The 24072-nt window shown below is 40.1% G+C and overlaps 2 protein-coding genes across 12 annotated transcripts in view, besides 4 other annotated features; one reads left to right on the forward strand and one right to left on the reverse strand.

The window, feature by feature from the left end:
- Positions 1-11316, reverse strand: part of ECD (ecdysoneless cell cycle regulator) — a 34428-nt gene extending 23112 nt beyond the window's left edge. For 2 of the 4 annotated variants that reach the window (NM_001135753.1, NM_001135752.1), the window contains exons 1-3: positions 11087-11316; positions 6954-7171; positions 3655-3772 (exon numbers count right to left, since the gene is read on the reverse strand). In NM_001135753.1, the coding sequence (NP_001129225.1) occupies positions 3655-3772; positions 6954-7158 (323 nt within the window). In that variant the 5' untranslated portion in view covers positions 7159-7171; positions 11087-11316. The remainder of the gene's footprint in view (positions 1-3654; positions 3773-6953; positions 7172-11086) is intronic. The other 2 variants (NM_007265.3, NR_024203.1) reach the window with 2 other exon arrangements.
- Positions 11048-11647: an enhancer, noted in NCBI's record as "NANOG-H3K27ac-H3K4me1 hESC enhancer chr10:74927585-74928184 (GRCh37/hg19 assembly coordinates)". NCBI's record gives its function as "activates a minimal SCP1, AML or CMV promoter by ChIP-STARR-seq in primed H9 embryonic stem cells {active_cell/tissue: H9 hESC(primed)}" and the evidence as "EXISTENCE:reporter gene assay evidence [ECO:0000049][PMID:30033119]".
- Positions 11154-11353: an enhancer, noted in NCBI's record as "active region_3556". NCBI's record gives its function as "activates an Ori minimal core promoter by ATAC-STARR-seq in GM12878 lymphoblastoid cells {active_cell/tissue: GM12878}" and the evidence as "EXISTENCE:reporter gene assay evidence [ECO:0000049][PMID:35858748]".
- FAM149B1 (family with sequence similarity 149 member B1) overlaps positions 11340-24072 on the forward strand; it is a 76386-nt gene continuing 63653 nt past the window's right edge. For 6 of the 8 annotated variants that reach the window (NM_173348.2, XM_005269744.3, XM_047425143.1 and 3 more), the window contains exons 1-3: positions 11340-11607; positions 17908-18012; positions 21067-21196. In NM_173348.2, the coding sequence (NP_775483.1) occupies positions 11561-11607; positions 17908-18012; positions 21067-21196 (282 nt within the window). In that variant the 5' untranslated portion in view covers positions 11340-11560. Of the gene's footprint in view, positions 11608-15155; positions 15462-17907; positions 18013-21066; positions 21197-24072 lie in introns of those variants that run through there. The other 2 variants (XM_047425145.1, XM_047425142.1) reach the window with 2 other exon arrangements.
- Positions 11404-11593: a silencer, noted in NCBI's record as "silent region_2481". NCBI's record gives its function as "represses an Ori minimal core promoter by ATAC-STARR-seq in GM12878 lymphoblastoid cells {active_cell/tissue: GM12878}" and the evidence as "EXISTENCE:reporter gene assay evidence [ECO:0000049][PMID:35858748]".
- Positions 12248-12846: an enhancer, noted in NCBI's record as "H3K27ac-H3K4me1 hESC enhancer chr10:74928785-74929383 (GRCh37/hg19 assembly coordinates)". NCBI's record gives its function as "activates a minimal SCP1, AML or CMV promoter by ChIP-STARR-seq in primed H9 embryonic stem cells {active_cell/tissue: H9 hESC(primed)}" and the evidence as "EXISTENCE:reporter gene assay evidence [ECO:0000049][PMID:30033119]".

The following is a 24072-nucleotide window of genomic DNA, read 5'->3' on the forward strand; positions in this document are numbered from 1 at the left end:
ATGGCTATAAGAAAGCAAAATATTTAAGATAACATTAAGCACTGAAGGAGACTGTAAGATTGTAAGGAGGAGTTGAAGGTAGATATGATAAGGAGAGAAGATAAGCAATTTACATAAAGAAATATTAGACAAAAATATGAAAATATACGAAAGTACTATAGGGTTCCAAAAGAAAAAAAAGAAACACATAGCTGAGATTAGAAAAGCCTTCATGTAGGAGGTGTTATTTGGGCCTGAAAAGATAATTATTTCTGCCTCATTTGCATCACTTTTTTTTTTTTTATTTTGGAGACGGAGTCTCGCTCTGTCACTCAGGCTAGAGTGCAGTGGTATGATCTCGGCTCACTGCAACCTCCACCTCTTGTTTTCAGGCAATTATCCTGCCTCAGCCTCCTGAGTAGTTGGGATTACAAGTGCCCGCCATCATGCCCAGCTAATTTTTGTATTTTTAGTAGAGACAGGGTTTCGCCATGTTGCCCAGGCTGGTCTCGAACTCCTGACCTCAAGTGATCCGCTCACCTCAGCCTCCCAAAGTGCTAGGATTACAGGTGTGAGCCACCACGCCCGGCCCGTATCACTTTTTTAAATTTAATTTTTTAAAATAGGTTATACATTCACATGGTTACATTTTTTAAAAAAATGTATTAAAAGTTACATGGCCAGGTGCAGTGGCTCACGCCTGTAATCCCAGCACTTTGGGAGGCCGAGGTGGGCGGATCACCTGAGGTCAGGAGCTCAAGACCAGCCTGACCAACATGGAGAAACCCCGTCTCTACTAAAAATACAAAAAAAATCAGCCAGGCGTGGTGGCCCATGCCTGTAATCCCAGCTACTCGGGAGGCTGAGGTAGGAGAATTGCTTGAACCTGGGAGGCAGAGGTTGCGGTGAGCCGAGATCGCACCATTGCATTCCAGCCTGGGCAACAAGAGCGAAACTCCATCTCAAAAAAAAAAAAAGTTACAAAATAAAAAAGTCTCCCTCCTACTTTTGTCCCTATCTGCTCAACCCTACATGCATCACTGCTGTTTCTTGTATATCCTTCTAGAGTTTGCTTACACATAATCTAACTATAGAAATATATACTTGTATTTTCTCCCTTTTTTACACAAGACATGGCATATTTTATATACTGTTATATATCGTTCTAGCTCTATACTTCTATTTTTATTATTTTATTTTATTTTATTTTATTTTATTTTTGAGACAGAGTCTCACTCTGTCGCACAGGCTGGAATGTAGTGGTGCAATCACACTCACTGCAACCTCTACCTCCTGGGCTCAAGTGATTCTCCTGCCTCAGCCTCCCGAGTAGCTGGGACCACAGGCATGGGCCACCACACATGGCTAATTTTTGTATTTTTAGTAGAGATGGGGTTTCACCATGTTGGCCAGGCTCGTCTCGAACTTCTGACCTCATGTGATGCTTCCGCTTCGACTTCCCAAAGCGTTGGGATTACAGATGTGAGCCACCGCCCCAGGCCTACAATGTATTGTGTTCTTGAAACTTGCTAAGGCAGTAGATTTTAAATGTTCGCACCACACACAAAAAAATAAGTATGTGAAGTAATGTACGTTATGAGCTCAATTCAGCCATCCTACAATATATATGTATTTCAAGACAACATGTTATACATAATAAATATATAAAATTTTTATTTATCAATTTTAAAAATAGGCTGGGCGCAGTGGCTCACACCTGTAATCCCAGCACTTTGGGAGGCTGAGGCAGGTGGATCACTTGAGGTCAGGAGTTTGAGACCAGCCTGGCCAACATGGTGAAACCTTGTCTCTACAAAAAATACAAAAATTAGCCAGGTGTGGTGGTGCACGCCCATAGCCCCAGCTACTCAGGAGGATGAGGTAAGAGAATTGCTTGAGCCCGGGAGGCAGAGGTTGCAGTGAGCCGAGATTGTTCCACTGCAGTCCAGTCTGGGCAAGAGAGTGAGAGCCTGTCTCAAAAAAATAAAATAAAATAAAATAGAGCACAGTGGCATGTGCCTGTAGTACCAGCTGCTTGGGAGACTGAGGCAGGAGGATGGCTTGAGCCCAGGAGTTCAAGTCCCGCCTGGGCAAAATAGTAAGACCCCGTCTTTAAAAAACTAAATAAATAATAAATAAATTTAAAACATTTAAAAATTTTAAATAAATTTATTTAAAGATAAAAATAAAATGAGTTATCGCTTAGATTTACATCCTGAAATATTTAAGGATCAAATGACAGCTACAGATGAAATAATAATGACCATGAGTTGGTAATTGTTGAAGCTGGATAATGGGAACATGTGGGTTCATTCTTTCTACTTTAATGTATGTTTAAAATTTAAATAATAAGTTTTCAAAGGTTTTTTTCTCCCTTCTATTTTGTTCTGTTGGGAAAGAGGTTGAGTGGGTAAAAAAAGATCAGAATTTGGGTGCTGACTAGGAAAACTAGGACAAAATATAAGTGGGCGGAACGCCCTCTGCTGGCAATACGTGGTTAATTACAGAAAACCCAGGTCCCATTTTTAACGTAATGTTACCTACTTTGCTTCCTATACAATTGTGTTCACTGACTTCTCTTTAAATTGTTTCTGTGTATGATTTCTCAAAAAATATAGCTATGGTCTAGTACAGGAATACATATTTAAAAATACGTGAAATATGTGTGTATGTGTATGAATGGAATTTTATTTTTCAAAGATCCACAAGGAATTTAATGGTGATTACTTCTGGGAAGCAAGAGCAGTAGAAACCTTTGTATCTTTTGAATTTTGTTTACCACATGTATTTGTTTTTTCATAATTAGAACTTTAAAAAGAAAACCTAAAATAAGTAGGTTTTATTTGAAATCTTTTGGAAGTTGAACTCTTTGACAGTACTTTAATTTTTTTTTTTTTTTTTTTTGAGACAGTTTCACTCTTGTTGCCCAGGCTGGAGTGCAATGGCGCGATCTCGGCTCACCGCAACCTCCGCCTCCCAGGTTCAAGCAATTCTCCTGCCTCAGCCTCCCGAGTAGCTGTGATTACAGGCATGTACCACCATGCCTGGCTAATTTTGTATTTTTAGTAGAGACAGGGTTTCTCCATGTTGAGGCTGGTCTCGAACTCCTGACCTCAAATGATCCGCCTGCCTCGGCCTCCCAAAGTGCTGGGATTACAGGTGTGAGCCACCGCGCCTGGCCGTGTACTTTAATTCTTTCTCAAGAAAAGGAAGCCACAAGAGAAGAGAAAGAAAACACAGATATGGCTGGGCGCGGTGGCTTACGCCTGTATTCCCAGCACTTTGGGAGGCCAAGGTGGGTGGATCACCTGAGGTCAGGAGCTCCAGAGACTAGCCTAGCCAACATGGTGAACCCTTGTCTCTACTAAAAATACAAAATTAGCCAGGCGTGGTGGTGCACGCCTGTAATCCCAGCTACTTGGGAGGCTGAGGCAGGAGAATCGCTTGAACCCGGAAGGTGAAGATTGCAGTGAGCCAAGATCACACCACTGCACTCCAGCCTGGGTGACAAAGCAAGACTGTCTCAAAAAAAAAAAAAAAGAGCACAGATACTATTAAAATCTGTACAATTTCCAGCAGACTACAGGAGAAAAATAAATTACTAAATAGATAAAAATGTAGTCACTTTGTTTCAGTAATAGAATTCCTTTAGAATAATTAAAATAACTACAATACCTTGCTACTAACTCTGGAAATTCCTTTGTGATCTGCTTTATTACATAAACAATAAACCATTCATCCTCAATGTTATCCCCAAACTTTGTCACGCCAAACATATGAGCAGGAACACCTCCTAAAAACAAGAGAAAAGCAACCATGTAACCAGATAAATTTGTTACTGCAAATAAAATGCACATAATCATTCAACTGAATACACATTCATTGACTGATTGCTCTAAGTACTGGGGAGCAGGGGTTGCAATCCTGAAGAAGAAGCCTACTCCTGAGGAGCTCAGGGTAAAACAAGACAACCAAATGATCTCAAAACAAGATAATGAACTCTAGAACAGGAGTGTGCAGTAACGGCTATGTGAGTATAAAGGAGGGGATATCTGTGCTATGCTTGCCTGGAGGAATGACAAGAGGTGAGCTTTCCAGAAAAATGGAAAAGTATGTGCAAAGGCACAGAGGCATGATGTATAGAGTATGTATGTATAGAGTATTCTGGGAATACCAGGACGCTAGATTTGGATGGAGCAGAAGTTTTCAAACATGTGCACTATTCACAAACACATGGAAACTAAACAACAACACACTCTTGGAATAAATCACAGGGAAATTAGAAAATATCTTGGGACAAATGAAAATGAATGCACATCATACCAAAACTTAAGGAATTCAGTGAAAGCAGTGCTAAAAAGGAAGTTTGTAGTTGTGAAAGATCTCAAATCAACAACCTATACCTCAAAAAAAAAAAACAAAAACTAAACCCAAACCTAGCATAAGGAAGGAAATAATAAACATTACAGCAGAGAGAAATATAGAGACCAGAAAAAATAATAGAAAAACAAAACAGCTGAGTTGGGTTTTTTTTAAAAGATTGACAAACTATTAACTTGATTAACCAGGAATAAGAGCAAATACTCAAATAACTAAAATCGGAAATGAAAGAGGGGACAGTACAACTTATGTCATAGAAATAAGAAGGATAAGAGAATTCTATGAACAATGGTATACCAGTAAGTTGGATAACCTATAAGAAATTGACAAATTCCTAGAAACACAACCTGTCAAGACTGGATCATGAGAAATACAAAAATCTGAACAGATCTATAACTAGTAAGGAGATTGAATCAATAATCCAAAAGCTCCTAACAAAGAAAAGCTGGCTTCACCGGGGAATTCTTCCAAACATTTAAAGAATTTGACACCAATCCTCCTCAAAATCTTCCAAAAAAATAAAAGGGAGGGAATTCCCAAATTCCTTCTGAGGCCAGCATTACCCTAATACCAAAGCCAGACAAAGACAATATGAGAAAGCTGTAGATCAATATCCCTGATGAGTATCAATGCAGAAATCCTTAACAAAATATCAGCAATCTGAATTCAACAACACATTAAATAGATTATTCACCACGACCAAGCGAGATTTATTCCTGGGATGCAAGGATGGTTCAACACACGAAAATCAATGTACAGTTAATATCCCACATTAACAGAATGAAGGTCAAACAAGTGCATTACAGAGTGTCTCAAGAGCTGCCATGGCAAACAATAGGTAGAAGAACAGCCCAACCAACTCTTCTTCTCCCCACCCCAGATCTCAAGTTTCTTCAACTAGAGAACTCCAATTAAAGTAACTATTTTTGTCTATATTAGACTTTGATTTAAATTTCATCTTGAAGCAATGGGAACTACTGAAGGATATTAAGCAGGAGAGTGACACAATCAAATTTGTGTTTTACAAACATAACCAGCAACAGTGTTAGGAACTAGAAAGACAGGAACCAGAGAGGTAAGTTAGGAGGCTGTTGTTGTTTTCCAGATGTAGAGATAAAGAGGGTCTACACTGAAGCCAAATAGATGTAGAGAAGGGGTCATATTTTAGAAGCATTCAGGATTTAGCATCTGACTGAACATGGTGAAGTGAGGAACTGATTATGATTTTGAATTACTGACTAGCTTGGATAACTGGGTGGATGGCAATGCCATTAAACAAGATAAGAAAACAGTAAAAATGGTTTTCTAGAGGATGGATAAAGGGTTGGTTTTAGATGTGCTACACCAATGTGACAGTGTTCTTGCCAATAAATATCATATGTATTTCAATGAATAAGAGTTCAATAAAATTAACAGTAAGATATGTAGCAATTGTTGCCAAAAGATAACAGATACGCACTAAACTGAGAGTATCACAGTGATGTATACTTGTGATGTATACATGGGGGGTATATCTTGTGATGGTATCACAAGATGCCAGGCTCCTGATCCCAAATAAGACCTCACATAAGTCACTGTGTAAGGAGAGACTTGGTCACCTACCCATGATTTATTTTCATAAAACTATAAGAAATGATAGAACTGTAATGTGACCAGTTCCCCACCAGACTACTTAAGGGTATATGTCTGCTGCTTAAACTTCAAAGGCCAGCTGGCAAGCCAAAGCCATCATGCCTAGCAGAGGAGCAGGTCCTGAGAACCCAAACATTGCAGGGCATAGCTGGGAACATACCAAGGAAAACAGTGTCATTGCATATACGCAGTAGGCAAAGAGCCAAAAAATTAGCTTACTAGCAACTTAAATATGGGAGGTGGGGTGGATTTCTAGAGCTGTCCTGATGCTGCCCAGGAGTGTCTTGTCTGTAAGTCCTAATAAACTCATCTACTTGCCAAGATAGACCTGTCCGAGTCATTCTTTGGTCTCTCCGCTCCCTCCTAGTTTAATCCTGGGTTTTTCTCATAACAGGACAGAGTGCCATATTTTGCCAGAGGTCAGATCTCAAGCACCAACAACACAGGGAAGCAATGAAGAAACCTCAAAATGCTTGTAAGTGGCAAATATTAGTCATAAAGCCCAATTATTTATCTTTATAAGCTGGGCAGAGCCACTCAGATCCTCACCAAAATGGCTATATGAAACAAGGCAGCCTACCAAACACATCACCAAAATAAGGAATCCTGAGTAACAGCAAAAGGAACCATGATTAAAGCCAGATGCCTGAAACTATTTAGTATAGATACTTAGATACATTATGGCATAGTGTAGTAACTAAAGTTCAAAAGAATAGCCATGAGTTTAATAATGTTTAGTATATGCTAATTCCTAAGGCAAATTTAGAAAGTTTTCATTAATATGATTTTTTTTAAAAAAAAGCTTTAAGGCTAACTGAATATAGACAAGTATTACTCATCTAAAAAGTTTAGTGTATTAATCTCTTCCTGGCAACACTGAATGAAGCGTGGACTATTACACATCACTGTTGTCAGGATAACATTAAAAGTCACACTAATCCAAACAAGTAAAAGAGCCTTACCTTTCCCAGGTTTATATTTAAGATTGAAAGGCTGATTCTGCCAGATGTAGGGGACCAGCATAGGTGCAAACCGAGTGATTATTCTCTCAATGTACTTCTGAAGAATCTCTTTATGTTTATCTGAGTCCCTTGACTCATCTGGTATCAGGAACAGGCAGTACTCCACTGTGTCTTCCATCGTAGCAAGCTTCATGGTTTCTTCCATTCTTCTTTGAAAACTATGTTTAAAGTTCCAAAATATAAACCACATAGAACAATGCAGAAGTAACATCTGAACTCTTTTAGATGGTTCTATGAACACTGTTTTCTAAAATTTAGTTAGGCCGGGCACAGTGGTTCATGCATGTAATCCTATCACTTTGGGAGGCCGAGACAGGCAGATCACTGGAGGTCAGGAGTTTGAGACCAGCCTGGCCAACATGGTGAAACCCCGTCTCTACTAAAAATACAAAATACTAAAAATACAAAAATTAGCTGGGTGTGGTGGCATGCACCTGTGATCCTAGCTACTTGGGAGGCTAAAGCAGGAGAATCACTTGAACCTAGGAGGCAGAGGTTGCAATGAGCCGAGATCATGCCACTGCACTCCAGCTTGGGTGACAGAGCAAGACTCCAACTAAAAAAAAAAATAAATAAAAATAAAAAATAAAAAAATAAAATTTAGTCACATACCATCACCATGGTTTTGGCCTTAACCATACACCACCTACAGTAATATTTATTTAATTTTTTTAAACTTTATTTATTTATTTGAGATGGAGTTTCACTCTTGTTGCCCAGGCTGGAGTGCAGCGGCATGATCACAGCTCATTGCAACCTCCACCTCTTGGGCTCAAGCCATCCTCCCACCTCAGCCTCCCAAGTAGCTGGGACCACAGGTGCATGCCACCATGCCCAGCTAACTTTTTTTGTATTTTTAGTAGAGGCAAGGTTTTGCCATATTGCCCAGGCTGGCCTAGAACTTCTGAGCTCAAGCAGTTCTTCCACCTTGGTCTCCCAAAGTGCTGGGGTTATAGGCATCTGGCCTAATATTATTTTTAATGACCCTTTACACTTAAAACTTTATCTTTAAAATTACGTTAAAAGGAAACCTTGATATAATACAGTGAATAGAAATCTAGTATCACATTCCCCAATTAGTAAGTATGTAAGAATAAAATCTTTACTTTTTATATTTTTCCTATTTTGGAAGTGAAGAATGAAATTTTTAATGTTTGCCCTTGTACTAGCAGTGGTATGTGTAATATATTTCGAGAAACACTGCACTAACACCTACTGTTTACATACTATCAAAAACCCCAGTTCTGCCACTAATTAGTTGTGCCACTATGGACATTTCACTTTCTCTTTCTGGGTTTTTTTCTTTAATTTAGGATAAGTTATCTACCATCTCTAAAATCTCTCCCTGCTTTAAAATTTTGTTATTTAAACTCTAAAGTACAATCTGTCTTGCTCTACAGAATGTACATCTCTCTCTTTTATGAACATTGTATGGCGTAGAGGAATTCAGAACTACAAAACATTCATGTCCTGTCATTTTACCTCTGTCCTAAATTTGCCCCTTTTTCAAGTCTCATGGGATGGTAGGTATATCTTTCTTTTCTTTTTTTCTTTTCTTTTTCTTTTCTTTTTTTTTTGAGATGGAGTCTCGCTCTGTCGCCCAGGCTGGAGTGCAGTGGAGTGATCGCAGCTCACTGCAACCTCTGCCTCCCAGGTTCAAGCGATTCTTTTGCCTCAGCCTCCCGAGTAGCTGGGACTATAGGCGCACGCCACCACACCTGGCTAATTTTTGTATTTTTAGTAGAGACGGGGTTTTACCATATTGGCCAGGCTGGTCTCAAACTCCTGACCTCATGATCCACCTGCCTCGGCCTCCCAAAGTGCTGTTTTTTTTTTTTAATTTTTAAGGGTAAATAGTAGGTGTATATATTTATGGGGTACATGAGATATTTTGATACAGGTATACAATGCATAATAAGCACCTCAGGGTAAATGAGATATCCATTGCCTTAAGCATTTATCCTTTGTGTTACAAACACTCTAATTATACTCTTTTAGTTATTTTTATTAAAAAAATTTTTATAGCCAGGACATGCTCTCATCTGAACTTCGTTATTTTTAAATGTACAATTAAATTATTATTTACTATAGTCACCCTGTTGTGCTACCAAATACTAGTTTTCATTCACTCTATTTTTTTTGTACCCTTTAACCATACTCCCCCACAAACCCTCTGCAACCCTTCCCAGCTTCTGGTAAACCATCCTTCTACTTGCTATCTCCATGAGTTCAACTGTTTTAATTTTTAGCTCCTACAAATTAGTGAGAACATTTGAAGTTTATCTTTCTGTGCCATCCTTATTTCACTTCCATCCAGTTCCACTTGATCTTCAGTTCCATCCATGTTGTTACAAATAACAGAATCTCATTTTTTTTTTTATGGCTGAAAAGCACTCCATTGTGTGTATGTGCCACATTTTCTTCATTATCTGTTGATGGACACTTAGGTTGCTTCCAAATCTTGGCTACTGAGAATAGTGCTGCGATAAACATGGGAGTGCAGATATCTCTTTGATATACTGATTTCCTTTCTTTTGGGTAAATACCCAACAGTGGGACTGCTGGATCATATAGTAGCTCTATTTTTAGTTTCTTGAGGAATCTCCAAAACTGTTCTCCATAGTGACTGCACTAATTTACATTCTCACCAACAGTGTTTTATCCAAATCCTTGCCAGCATTTGTTATTGCCTGTCTTATGGATAACAGCCATTTTAACTGGGGTGAGATGCTATCTTATTGTAGTTTTGATTTGCATTTCTCTGATAATCAATGATATTGAGCACCTTTTCATAAACCTGTTTGCCATTTTTATGTCTTCTTTGAGAAATGTCTATTCAGAGTTTTTATCCAATTCTTAATCAATTATTAGACTGCTTCCTAGAGAGTTGTTTGAACTCCTTATATATTTTGGTTATTAATCCCTTGTCAGATGGGTAGTTTGCAAATATTTTCTCCCATTCTGTGGGTTCTCTCTCCACTTTGTTGATTGTTTCCTTTGCTGTGCAGAAGCTTTTTAACTTGATGTGCTCCCATTTGTCCATTTTTGTTTTGGCTGCCTCTGTTTGTGAGGTATTACTCAGGAAATCTTTGCCCACTCTAATGTCCTAGAGAGTTTCCCCAATATTTCCTTTTAGTAGTTTCATAGTTTGAGGGCTTAGATTTAAGTCTCTAATCCATTTTGACTTGATTTTTGTATATGGTGGGAGGTAGTGGGTCTGGTTTCATTCTTCTGCATACGGGTATCAGTTTTCCCAGTATCATTTATTGAAGAGACTGTCTTTTCCCCAATGTATGTTTTTGGTACCTTTGCTGAAAATGAATTCACTGCAGACATATGGATTTGTTTCTGGGTTCTCTATTCTGTTCCTGTTTTTATGCCAGTGCCATGCTGTTTTGGTTACTATAACTCTGTTGTATAATCTGAAGTCGGGTAATGTGATGCTTCCAGTTTTGTTCTTTTTGCTCAGGATAGCTTTGGCTATTCTGGCTCTTTTGTGGTTCCATATAAATTTTAGGATCTTTTTTCTATGACTGTGAAGAATGTCACTGGTATTTTGATGGAGGTTGCATTGATACCTCTTAATTTTCTAAGGGTTTTCCTTATCTCTTAATTTTCTAAGGGTTTTCCTAAATAAGAGTACTAGTTTATTCTTGCTGCCAGGTGATGCTTGGTAAAGAAAGAAATGGCGGTGGATGGACCACCCTAACTCCATGATTCCAATCTTACTCAGCTTTCTAAGAGACTCGTAAGGAACCTGCTTCTTCTTATCCAGACACCCACTCACCACAGTCTAACCAAATCATCATTTTGCCTTTCAACCCAGAGGGACAGACAGTAATTTTACCCATCCACCCCATAACGCCAAACACACGTCATCATGCAGAATTTGGTGTCAGAACTGGAAGGGACTCTATGATCACTCAGGCTAATACCTCACTGTACATATGAGAAAACCCAGAGTACAGAAAAAGAAGCGACCAAGCAGCAGGGGCTTGACTTGGAGTCTAGTGCTCTTTCCCCAGTCTAGGCTCCCTCCTGCCATCTAACAAAATGAAGCCAATTTCTCTTACGGTTCTAGGGCCTCTCCTTCGCGTCTCTGCTGTGGCACCTTTCCTTAGCCGCCTCTCCGACTGCGAGAGCTGATCGAGAGCTGCCACCGGCCGCCGAAGCCTGGATCAGGCTCTGTCCCGACGCCTGACCGGAACCTGAAGCCAGCGGAAATCCTGAGAGAAAGTCTGAAACCCACTCAGTCCCCGAAACCTTGTGTGTCGTCACTGCTGTGCGTCGGCGGGAGCATTTTGCGAGTGTCCGGGGGCCTTCGTCACTTCCGCCCCCGCGGCAAAGCAGGGAGGTCGGAGGACTGGAGAGGTGGGGACCCTGGGGAGGTGGCTGCTCGGAGTCTAGGTGACGGGGCGAGACGGGGCCGGTAGGTGGCGGGAGGGGCCGGGCCGGAGCCGGCGGGAGGGCCAGGCCCGGAGGCCCCCACCCTGGCGTGCCTGCCCCGGCCGCGGCTGAGGAGGAGGAGGAGGAGGAGGAGGAGGAGGATGATCTCCAGATACACTCGGAAGGCGGTGCCACAGAGCTTGGAGCTGTGAGTGGACTGCTCAGCCACCCCAGCCGGGGCGGGCGGCGGGCGCTCTGGGGACCCTCCTTGACCAGTCCTTCGTTCCTTTCCTTTCCCAGGGCTGGGGAGAGATTTTTCTTCGGAATTCTCTCCTCTCAGCCCTGCTGGACCCTGCCCCTTCTTCCTCCATCTCCAGCTGAGGGCGTGTCGCCCTTCGTCTGAAATTCCTGAAATCAAGCACTGGGTCTGCTGAAGCATTTGTAGCATCCGCAGTGCTTCAGGTCCCATTGTTAATGGCCATGGTAGCTCGAGAAGTTATTAATAGCTAACTGAGGGCTCCAGGAAAGTGCTCACTTGACACTGTGCAAAGCTATTTACATACATTTGCTCATTCCTATCAATGATATCAGATTGGGAACATTATTTTGCACATTCTACAGATAAAGATCCCAGAATTAAAGATTGTAGCATGCCAAAGATCACACAGCTTGAAGGTGGTAGAGCTGAGAGGTACAAACCTGATGTCGATCTGATTCCGAAGCCTGTGGTCATAACCATCACACATACTGCCTCCCCACCTCTGCAATTAAGCACCAGAATCCATAAAGATCAGTTTTGCTTTTGAGACTTTAAAGAGCAAATATTTCTGGCTTTAAAAAGATCCACCCTCACGGCCGGCCGTGGTGGCTCACGCTTGTAATCCCAGCACTTTGGGAGGCTGAGGCGGGCGGATCACTTGAGGCCAGGAGTTCGAGACCAGCCTGGCCAACATGGCGAAACCCCATCTCTACTAAAAATGCAAAAAAAAAAAAAAAAATGGCCGGGCATGGAGGCGGGGGCCTGTAAACCCAGCTACTTGGGAGGATGAGGCAGGAGAATCACTTGAACCCGGGAGGCAGAGGTTGCAGTGAGCAGAGGTCACGCCATCGCACTCCAGTCTGGGTGACAAGAGTGAAACTCCGTCTCAAAATAAATAAATAAATAATAAAAAAATAAAAAGAGCTGCCCCCTACCCTGACCGAAGTGGTGTATAATAATTTAGAAAGTAATAATAGTGTCATACATTTATTAATGCTTTACACTTCCAAAAGGGCCTTCACTTTTTTTTTTTTTTTGGAGACAGGGTCTTGCTCAGTTGTCCAGGCTGGAGGGCAGTAGTGCAATCCTTGCTCACTGCAGCCTCCACCTATGGGCTCAGGTGATCCTCACAATGTAGCCTCTTGAGTAGCTGAGACTACAGGTGCACACCACCACAACTGGCTAATTAAAAAAAAATTTTTTTTTGGTAGAGACAGGGTCCCACTATGTTGCCCAGGCTGGTCTCAAACTCCTGGACTCAAGCGGTTCTCCCACTTTGGCCTCCCAAAGTGTTGGCGTGAGCCACCATGCCCAGCTCACTTCACTTTTTGATCTTAACAACTCTGTAAAGTGGGTATGATTATCTTCAGTCTTTCAGAAGATGAAATTATATCAGAAATGTTACATATTTTAAGATTATATAGCCAAAAAGTCAGGAGTTGAGCTTGGGCTTTAACCCCAAATTCCAATTTTTTTTCCTTCATGGAGCTATATAATTTTAGCAACCATAAATTTATTAATTAAATATTAACTTTTCCTTTCATTTAGCTATGTAATTTTAGCAACCATAAATATATTAACTATTAATATTAATTATTAACTATTTAATTTATTAAATATTAATTATGCACATACATGATAATTGCAAGCATGCTATTTTGAATCATTCTTGGGTTTCTGGCTAGGCTGTCTTCTAGCCACGTGACTTTTAGGCAAATTACTACATCACTGAGCCTTCGTTTCTGCAATATAGGAGTAACACCTTATCCAAAAGCTTATTTAAAATGATGGTGTGGACCCCCACACCTGTAATCCTAGCACTTTGGGAGGCCAAGGTGGGCGATTGCCTGAGCTCAGGAGTTCAAAACCAGCCTGGGCAACATGGTGAAACCCTGTCTCTACTAAAAATGCAAAAAATTAGCTGGGCATGGTGGCACATGCCTGTAATCTCAGCTACTTGGGAGGCCGAGGCATGAGAATTGCTTGAACCTGGGAGGCGGAGGTTGCCGTGAGCCGAGATCACACCACTGTACTCCAGCCTGGGTGACAGAGGAAGACTCTGTCTCAAATAAATAAATAAATAAATAAAAATAAGAATAAAGTGATGGTGTGGAGCTTGACACATATACATCCTCAATAAATGGTATTTTCCTTGTCCCTTCGCACTTTTACTTGGGATACAATAGGCATACAAAGAAAATAAGTCTAAAACCTCTCTTTGCCTTTTAGAAGCTTATTATTTATTAAGGAATAAGATATCTACATGGTAGCAGTTTAGTTCCTAGTAAACTCTTTGGGAACTAGGAAGAAGAAACAGTCATCTCTTAGATTTGGGATGTGTTGTTCCTACTTAAAAAAAAAATTGTGAGGAAACTGTCTTTTCCCAATAAAGTGACTGAGGTTTAGCTAAAAATCTGCTTTTATGATTAATTCCAACCATTCTGAAAGTTAAAAAAAATCTTGTATGGAAAAAAATGATAGGCACTTGTTGGGCCAGAATTATTATTAACTAGTATAGTTGTATCAGTTTTCTTTCTATTTTTTTTTTTTTTGAGACGGAGTCTCTGTTGCACAGGTTGGAGTGCAGTGGTGCCATCTTGGCTCAGTTGCAACCTCCACCTCCTAGGTTCAAGTGATTCTTCCACCTCAGCTTCCCAAGTCACAGGACTACATGCCCAGCTAATTTTTGTATTTTTAGTAGAGATGGGGTTTCACCCCAGGCTGGTCTTGAACTCCTGGACTCTGTCTGCCTCGGTCTCCCAAAGTGCTGGGATTATAGATGTGAGCCACCGCGCCTGGCCTACTTGTTCTTGATTGTTGATTTGATACTCCCTATAAGGCCCAAAAGATGATTCTGTAGCTGGAGTCAGGATGAAGTGAATAATGAAGATAATGAAGATAAAATGTATCTTAATGGGAGCAAATTCAAAGCAATTTTTACTTTAGATGTTATAATAATGATAACCTGCTTTGAAGCCGTAACTTTAGTTTTCTACCTAGCCATTAAAAATTATAATTGTTGAAAAGAGTATGGGAAAGGAATGATTTTCAACATACAGCTTAACATTTTTTAATGAAAAATTTCAAACATAAACATATAGAGAATAGTATCATGCACTACCTGTCACCCCACATTCAACAGTTAACAAAGTTAATATATTTGCTTCATCTATCTTCCTTATCCTTTTCTTTCTTTTTTTTTTTTTTTTGAGACAGAGTCTCACTCTGTCGCCCAGGCTGGAGTGTAGTAGTGCCATCTCGGCTCACTGCAAGCTCCGCCTCCCAGGTTCACGCCATTCTTCTGCCTCAGCCTCCCGAGTAGCTGGGACTACAGGTGCCCGCCACCATGCCCAGCTAATTTTTTGTATTTTTAGTAGAGACGGGGTTTCACCGTGTTAACCAGGATGGTCTCGATCTCCTGACCTCGTGATCTGCCTGCCTCAGCCTCCCAAAGTGCTGGGATTACAGGCGTGAGCCACCGCACCTGGCCTCCTTATCCTTTTATTAACTTCTCTGCACCTCTCTGTGAAATAACGAAAGCAAAACTGCAGATACTGCCATTTCACCCCTATATATGTCATTATGCATCTCTAAAAATTATGGACATTTTTGTATGTAGTCATAGTGCCATTATTAAATTTAATGATATTTTTTGTTATCTAATTGTCAATTCATAGATTTCCCTGGCAGACTAAAAAATGTCTTAAGTCTCTATTTCATAGCTTGAATTTGTATTTCTTATCCTTTCCACTTTTTCAAAGACAAGCTCTTGGTTGTAGGACCACTGAATGAGAGACATACAGGTAAGTCTGCACAAATTGATCTCCACAATTTGAGAAATAATTTAAAGTGCAAGCTCCACTGACTGGGCTCTTAGCTTTATCTTTATATAGAACAATGGTACAATTCACTAAAATCTCAAACTCTTCATTTCCTTCTAGAGGCCTTCCTCTGAGAGCCAGATTACTAGGATTTGAATCTTGGCTTCATCGCTTACTAACCAAATGACCTTAAGCAGGTTACTTAATCCCTCTGTGCCTTAGTTTCCTTTGAAATGAGAGTATTTGAGATTTATGATAAACATTTGCATATTAAAGACCTGGAAGATCTCTTGTAAAGAAATCTGTGTAACTTTGTTCAACCTATTACAGTTCCTGAATGTATTTGACTACAGAGTTTTGTGAGGAAAGTCTACCGCAGATTACTAGGAACATATATTGATTGACCCCATAGATTACTGGAACATATAATGATTGACCCCATAGCTTAATCCAGTGCATACATTGGAGTCTCTAGAGCAGCAATATTCAATACAAATATGATATAAGCCACATATGTAATTTAAAATTTTCAGGTGGTCACATTAAAAAAGAAAGGTGAAATTGGCCGAGTGCAGTGGCTCATGTCTTGAATCCCAGTACTTTGGGAGGCTGAGGTAGGAGGATCATTTGAGGCCAGGAGTTAGAGACAGCCTGAGCAACATAACAAGATCCCAATCTCTACAAAAAAAAAAAAAATTAAAGATTAAATAATTAGCCAAGTGTGGTGGTGAGTACCTGTAGTCTCAGATACACAGGAGGCTGAGACAGAAGAATCCCTTGAGCCCAGGAGGTCAAGGCTGCAGTGAGCTATGACCACACCACTGTACTCCAGCTTGGACAACACAGCAAGACCCCATCTCAAAAAATAAAATAAAAGTGAAATTTTTTTACCTTTTTATTTTGAAATAATTATAGACTCACAGGAAGTTGTAAAAATAGTACCAAGAATCCCATGAACTTTTCACTCAGCTTCCCCCAATGATGACATCTTATGTAACTGTGGTATAATTTAAAAGCCAGGAAAATGACGTTGGTACAATACTGTTAACTAGACCTACAGACCTTATCCAGTTTTTACATCCACTCCTGTGTGTGTGTATGTGTGTATATAGTTCTTTCTATGCAATTTGGTCCCATTTACAGATTACTGCAAATACGACTATAAATCAAGATAGCTGTTTCATCCCCACCAAGGAACTTCACTGGGTATCCCTATCCCTTTATAGTTATATCCACTCTTGTCTCCATCCCTGGCAACCATTAATCTGTTCTCTACCACTATAGTTTTGTCCAATGTACCATTATATAAATGGCCCTTAAACAATGCAGGGGTTAGGGGTATTGACCCCCTGTACAGTAAAACATCCATGTTCAACTTTTGACTCCCCAGAACTTAACCACTAATAGCCTACTGTTGACTGGAAGCCTTACCAATAACATAGTCAACACAAAAATAGACTGGTAGTTACATATATTTTACACATTCATGACATACCTTTTTCTTAAATTTTTTCGATATTTCTAGGCTACATGGTTCATCTGTTGAGTTTCTTCAAATTGTTGCAAATCTCCAAAAAATTTTCCAATATATTTATTGAAAAAAATCTGCATATAAATGGGCTCACACAGTTTAAACCTGTGTTGTTCAAGGTCAACTGTAGTAGTTAATGGTTTTTCTATTGGCTTTGGCTTTTTGCACTAAAAAGCATGGTGCTTTTGAGATCCATCCAAGTTGTTGCATGTATCAATAGTTTATTTCTCTTTATTGCTGAATAATATTTCATTATGTGGAAATATCAATGTTAAAGGACATTTGAGTTGTTTTCAGTTATTTTTTTCAACTGTAAATAAAGCTGCTGTGAACATTTGTATACAGATTTTTGTATGAATGTAAGTTTTCATTTCTCTAGGCATAATGCCCAAGAGTGCAACTGCTAGGGCTCTGGGTAAATGCATATGTTTAGTTTTATTAGAAACTGTCAAACTATTCCAGAATGGCTATACCATTTGACATTCCTGCCAGCAATGTATGAGACATCCGGTTTCTCCACATCCATGCCTGCATTTTGTGTTATCATTATTTTTAATTTTAGCTGTTCTAATTGGTGTGTGGTGATATCTACTATATTTTCAACTTGTAGTGACATTAATTTTAAGAATATATTTTAACAACCCAATATATCCAAAATATTATCATTTTAATATGTAATCAAGATAATAAATGAAGTATTGCAAATTCTTCTTGAAATCCAATGTGTTTTACACTTAAAACACAATTCTGACTAGCCAGATTTTAATCACTGGTGGCTACCATATCAGACAGTGCAGTTCCAGAGCAGAGGAAGTAGGTGACTAACTTCTAGATTAAATTATTGAATTGTATGTATTTTTTTATACAGGAAATATAACTTTGTTTTGTCTTTCACAGGAAAGGAATAACAAAACATGCTCTTAACCATCATCCCCCTCCAGAGAAGCTGGAGGAAATTTCCCCCACCAGTGACAGTCATGAGAAAGACACAAGTTCCCAAAGGTAATAACACAAAGTGTACTTGTTTACTTATTGCACTTGCTCATGGCAGAGGTTTTGTTTTTTGGCTTAAGATTGGTGTCAAGCCTTGTGCTAATGAAAACAAAGCAAGAATTTTTGTCATGTTCTCAGTACCATTTAGTTTTCATTCTGAAACAGCTAATGACAACATCATACATATTTTCATAACCTTTGAGAAGTAGTATTATAAAGTAGTTAAGAACACGGATAATCTGCCATGGGATTAGAATGAAAAAACAAACAAACAAACACACAAACAAACAAAAAAACAGAACATGGAGCTTGGTACTTACAATCCCAGCACTATAGGAGGCCAAAAGGTGGGAGGATCATTTAAGCCCAGGAGTTTAAGACCAGCATGGGCAACATGGCAAACCCCATCTCTACAAAAAAATAAATAAATAAAATAACATAGCCAAGTGTGGGGATGTGCACTTGTGGTCCCAGCTACTACAGAAGCTGACATGGGAAGATTGCTTGAGCCCAGAAGGTCAAGGCTGCAGTAAGCTGTGTTTACACCACGATACTCCAGCCTGGGTGAAAGAGCAAGACGTTGTTTCAAGAAAAAACATAAATAGGGCCGGGCGCGGTGGCTCACGCCTGTAATCCCAACACTTTGGGAGGCCGAGGTGCACGGATCACGAGGTCAGGAGATCGAAACCATCCTGGCTAACACGGTGAAACCCCGTCTCTACTAAAAATACAAAAAAATTAGCCAGGCATGGTGGTGGGGGCCCGTAGTCCCAGCTACTCAGGAGGCTGAGGCAGGAGAATGGCATGAACCCGGGAGGCGGAGCTTGCAGTGAGCCAAGATCACACCACTGCACTCCAGCCTGGGCAACAGAGCGAGACTCCTTCTCAAAAAAAAAAAAAAAAAGAAAAGAAAAAACATAAATTAAATAAATATCAGAAAGAGCAAGATTATAAAAAACAAACAATAAAATAACATAACATAAATAAAAAAGAACATGGACTCAGGAGGAGTTCAACATCTGATTTTTAATCCTGGTCCTACAACTTATTAGCTGAGTAACATTGGGAAAATTACTTAACTGATAATAGTGTATCTTATAGCAGCAGTCCCCAACCTTTTTGGCACCAGGGACCAGTTTTGTGGAAGACAGTTTTTCCATGGACTGTGCAGTGGGGTGAGGGATGGTTTCAGGATGATTCAAGTGCATTACATTTATTATACACTTTATTTCTATTATTTTTACATTGTAATATATGATGAAATAATTATACAACTCACCATAATGTAGAATCAGTGGGAGCCTTGAGCTTGTTTTCCTGCAACTAGATGGTTCCATCCGGGGATGATGGGAGACAGTGACAGATGATCAGGCATTAGATTCCCATAAGGAATGCACAACCTAGATCCCTTGCATGCGCAGTTTGTGCTCCTGTGAGAATCTGATGCCACCACTGATCTGACAGAAGGCAGAGCTCAGGTGGTAATGCGAGCCATGGGGAGCTGCTGTAAATACAGATGAAGCTTCATGCACTCACCTGCCACTTACCTCCTGCTCTGCAGCCCAGTTCCTAACAGGCCACAGACCAGCACCGGTCTGTGACCCCGGGGTTCGGGACCCCTGTCTCATAGGATGTTGCAAATATTAATGAGATAATGTATGTAAAACTTGGCACGATGCTTGGCATGTAGTAAATGCTGAGTAAATATTAGCTGTAGTTATTTTAAGTAATAGAACAGGGAAGATGGTTCTTCAGTCTCTCAGAACTTCTATTAGTGTCTGAGATGCAATGTGTGATTAAAAAAAATATTGTATAATCATAGGCCGGGCGTGATGGCTCACATCTGTAGTCTCAGCACTTTGGGAGCCCAAGACAGGTGGATCACTTGAGCTCAGGAGTTCAAGACCAGCCTGGGCAATATGGCAAAACTCTGTCTCTACCAAAAATACAAAAAAAAGAAAAGGCTGGGCACGGTGGCTCATGCCTGTAGTCCCAGCACTTTGGGAGGCCGATGTAGGCGGATCACTTGAGGTCAGGAGTTCAAGACCAGCCTGGCCAACATGGCAAAACCCCGTCTCTACTAAAAATACAAAAATTGGCTGGGGGTGGTGGCGCACACCTGTAGTCCCAGCTACCAAGGAGGCTGAGGCAGGAGAATCACTTGAACCCGAGAGGAGGAGGTTGCAGTGAGCCGAGATCACGCCACTGCACTCAGTCTGGGCAACAGAGCGAGACTCCATCTCAAAAAAACAAAACAAAAGTACAAACAAAATTAGCCAGTCATGGTGGCACACACCTGTAGTCCCAGCTACTTGGGAAGCTAAAGTGGGAGAATCACTTGAACCCAGGAGGCGGAGGTTGCAGTGAGCTGATTTCGCACCACTGCATTCCAGCCTGGGTGACAGAGCGAGACCCCATCTCAAAAAATAAAAAATAAAAAGTGCCATACAAGATCAGATACTACTATTAGCATTTCTGAAATGTCTTTAGTTGTCAAGAGTATGTTATAGGCTGGGTGCGGTGGCTTATGCCTGTAAATCCTAGCACTTTGGGAGGCTGAGGTGGGCAGATTGCCTGAGCTCAGGAGTTCAAGACCAGCCTGGGCAACATGGTGAAACCCCTTCTCTACTAAAATGCAAAAATGAGCTGGGTGTGGTGGTGCACACCTGTAGTCCCAGCTACTTGGGAGACTAAGGCAAGAGAATCATTTGAATCCAGGAGGCCGAGGTTGCAATGAGTCAATATCGTGCCACTGCACTGTAGCCTGGGCGACAGCATGAGATTCTGTCTCCAAAAAAAAAAGAGTATGTCATAGGTGAGATGTTGAAGTATTCATTGTAAACTATGACTAGAATTATTTGGAATGACTGCCATCAATTCTGTAGGAATTAGGACTTTTCCATAATGCTCAAATTTCAAGTTCTTCATTTATTTTTGCCTATGTGGATATATTTGTACACATGTTAATCACCTAGTAAGTTGCTGAGTAGTTAATGCCACAGAAACTTGAGGACATATGAAAAATTTTCTTTTTTCTCTCCTCCTCCCAAATTGTGCCTTTAGCAAGTCTGACATCACAAGAGAATCATCTTTTACATCAGCCGACACTGGGAATTCACTGTCTGCTTTTCCAAGTTATACAGGCGCAGGGATATCTACTGAAGGAAGCTCGGACTTCTCCTGGGGATATGGTGTGAGTTATATGTTATCAGTCTGATAGAGTGCTTGGGAGATGATTCTGGGAATTAGGATTTGTCAGTATATTTCATTCCTTCACTCTCCTGCATTGTTTCTTTACATTTATCATACTTCATAATAACTGTAAAGAAGTATCAGTCCTCATCTTCTTTCAGTATTGGCTTTGTTTTATTGATATAGTAGTTGAGCCTTAGACATGCTTAGTGTTCAATTTAAACAGCTGCATGTTGGCCGGGCACGGTGGCTCACGCCTGCAATCCCAGCACTTTGGGAGGCCGAGGCGGGCGGATCACCTGAGGTTGGGAGTTCTAGACCAGACTGACCAACATGGAGAAACCCTGTCTCTACTAAAAATACAAAATTAGCCGGGTGTGGTGGTGCATGCCTGTAATCCCAGCTACTCCAGAGGCTGAGGCAGGAGAATGGCTTGAACGCGGGAGGTGGAGGTTGCTGTGAGCCGAGATCACGCCATTGCGCTCTAGTCTGGGCAACAAGAACGAAACTGTCTCAAAAAAAAAAAAACAACAACAAACAGTTGCAGGTTAATATGGATTTGGGCTCTGGGTCTATTCCTTTTGCCATGCCCAGTCCAGTAATGTATGTCTTTACCACTAATGTTACCTTGTTGTTTAAAATGTTTTTGAAAGTTTATTATTAAGCCATTATAGCCTGGGAAAATATTTGTGATATATTGGTAATGAAAACAAACAGGTTATAAATCATATGTGTAGTGTCACTCTAATTTTGTTTTATATAAATTCTGCCTATATTAGTGAAAAGGACCAAAATATTTACTCAAAATATTGTTCAGTTGTTATTAATTAGGTGATGAGATGAGTGATTTTTACTTCTTTACTTATTTTTGGCTATTTCCCATTATAAAATATTATTTTTAAAAGACCAACAACTCTAAAAATTTTTTAAAGACAATTTTTATGCATAATTTTATCATCTTGATGCAAGATGCAATAGACATTTTTATTTCTTGTTTTTTGTTTTTTTTGGAACGGAGTCTCGCTCTGTTGCCAGGCTGGAGTGCAGTGGCACGATCTTGGCTCACTGCAACCTCTGCCTCCCGGGTTCAAGCTATTCTCCTGCCTCACCCTCCTGAGTAGCTAGGACTATAAGCGTGCACCACCATGGCCAGCTAATTTTTGTATTTTCAGTAGAGACAGGGTTTCACCATGTTGGCCAGGATGGTCTCGATCTCTTGACCTTGTAATCTGCCCGCCTCAGCCTCTCAAAGTGCTGGGATTACAGGCATGAGCCACCATGCCCGGCCAACATTTTTATTTCTATATCTTTTTTCAATCTGTATTTAATTTGGCTTAGTTATAATCATGATGTACACATAATATTATGCTGCATTTCTTCACCTAATATTTTATAAACACTTCTCCACAATATTGACTTTATATAATATTATTGTTAGGCTCTTTCTTTCTGTCTTTTCTTTCTTTCTTCTTTCTCTGTCACGCAGGCTGGAGTGCTGTGGCAATCATAGCTCACTGCAGCCTCAAACTCCTGGGCTCAAGCCATCCTCCTGCCTCAGCCTCCTGAGTAGCTGGGACCACAGGTGCATGCCACCACACCCTGCTATTTTTTTTTTTTTTAAGAGGTAGGATCTGGAACTCCTGGCCTCAAGCAATTCTCCCACCTCAGCCTCCCAATGTGCTGAGGTTATAGGCATGAGCCACTGCACCCAGCCAGAAACCTGCTTTTTTTTTAACAAAAAGCCTGCTAATTGTTAAAACCTATTTTCTAATCATTTTGAATGTACATATACTTTCCTTATATATAGTTGTATGATACATGTACATACTATTTTGTGGCCTATTTTTTTCATTTACCATCATTTTATATAGACATTTACTACTCCACACTGGTCAATCTGAATGTTATATAATATTTTCCTGTCTTAATATATCATAATTGGATCTTTCCCTTATTATCTGATACTTGGGTTTTCACGTTTTTTTCGTTCATTCCACAAATATTTATTGAGCATGGTTGTTTTCCCTGTACTTGGCCTTGGGAATATGGGGTGAGTGAGACTTACATGATTCAATAGTCTAATGAGGGAGATTGACAAAAGTAAATACAAAAGGTGATAAGTGCTCTAAGAAAGATGACAGGGTGCTGAAATAGAACATTATCAGGGGGATTCATTATCAGGGATCTCTGGTAAGGTAGATCTGAGACTTGAAGACAGAAGAGCTAGCCATGTGAAGAGTGAGGAAAAGAGTTTTCCAGACAGGTAACCAGCAGCATATGCAAAAGCCCAAGGAGGAGAAGAGCTTCATGTTTCCAAGGGAAAGTGTTTGGTGTATTCTTGCAACTGATAAAAGGTCAGGGTGGTTGGATGATGGAAAACCAGGGGGAGAAAAGCACAAATGAGATTAGAGAGGTAGGTGGGACTAGATCATTAGGGCCCTGCAGGCCAAAGAATTTAAATTGTATTCTAATAATTAGATGCCTCATCAGGAAGATTTAGTATACTGACTAAATATTTCCATTAGTTCTCTCTATATTATGATTTGTATCTCTTTATAACTTATAAACGTCATACAGATGTTTCCCATGTCCTTGCTTTCCTTTTGGCATTTATAGTCTAACAGGTTTTTAAAATATATTCACATATAGCCATCTTACTTTTGACCTTCATTTCTTCACTAGTCAGGATTTTATCTTTAGAAAAATTGAATGTTATAATATTCTTTTTCATGGCTTAAAACAAAATCCATTCCTTCAGGTGTTTATCCTTTGAATTACAAACAATCCAATTACACTCTTTTAGTTATTTTAAAATGTACAATTAAGTTATTATTGACTATACTCACCCTTTGTGCTATGAAATAGTAGGTCTTATTC

Source organism: Homo sapiens, chromosome 10 (assembly GCF_000001405.40).
Source record: "Homo sapiens chromosome 10, GRCh38.p14 Primary Assembly".
Lineage (NCBI taxonomy): Eukaryota > Metazoa > Chordata > Mammalia > Primates > Hominidae > Homo > Homo sapiens.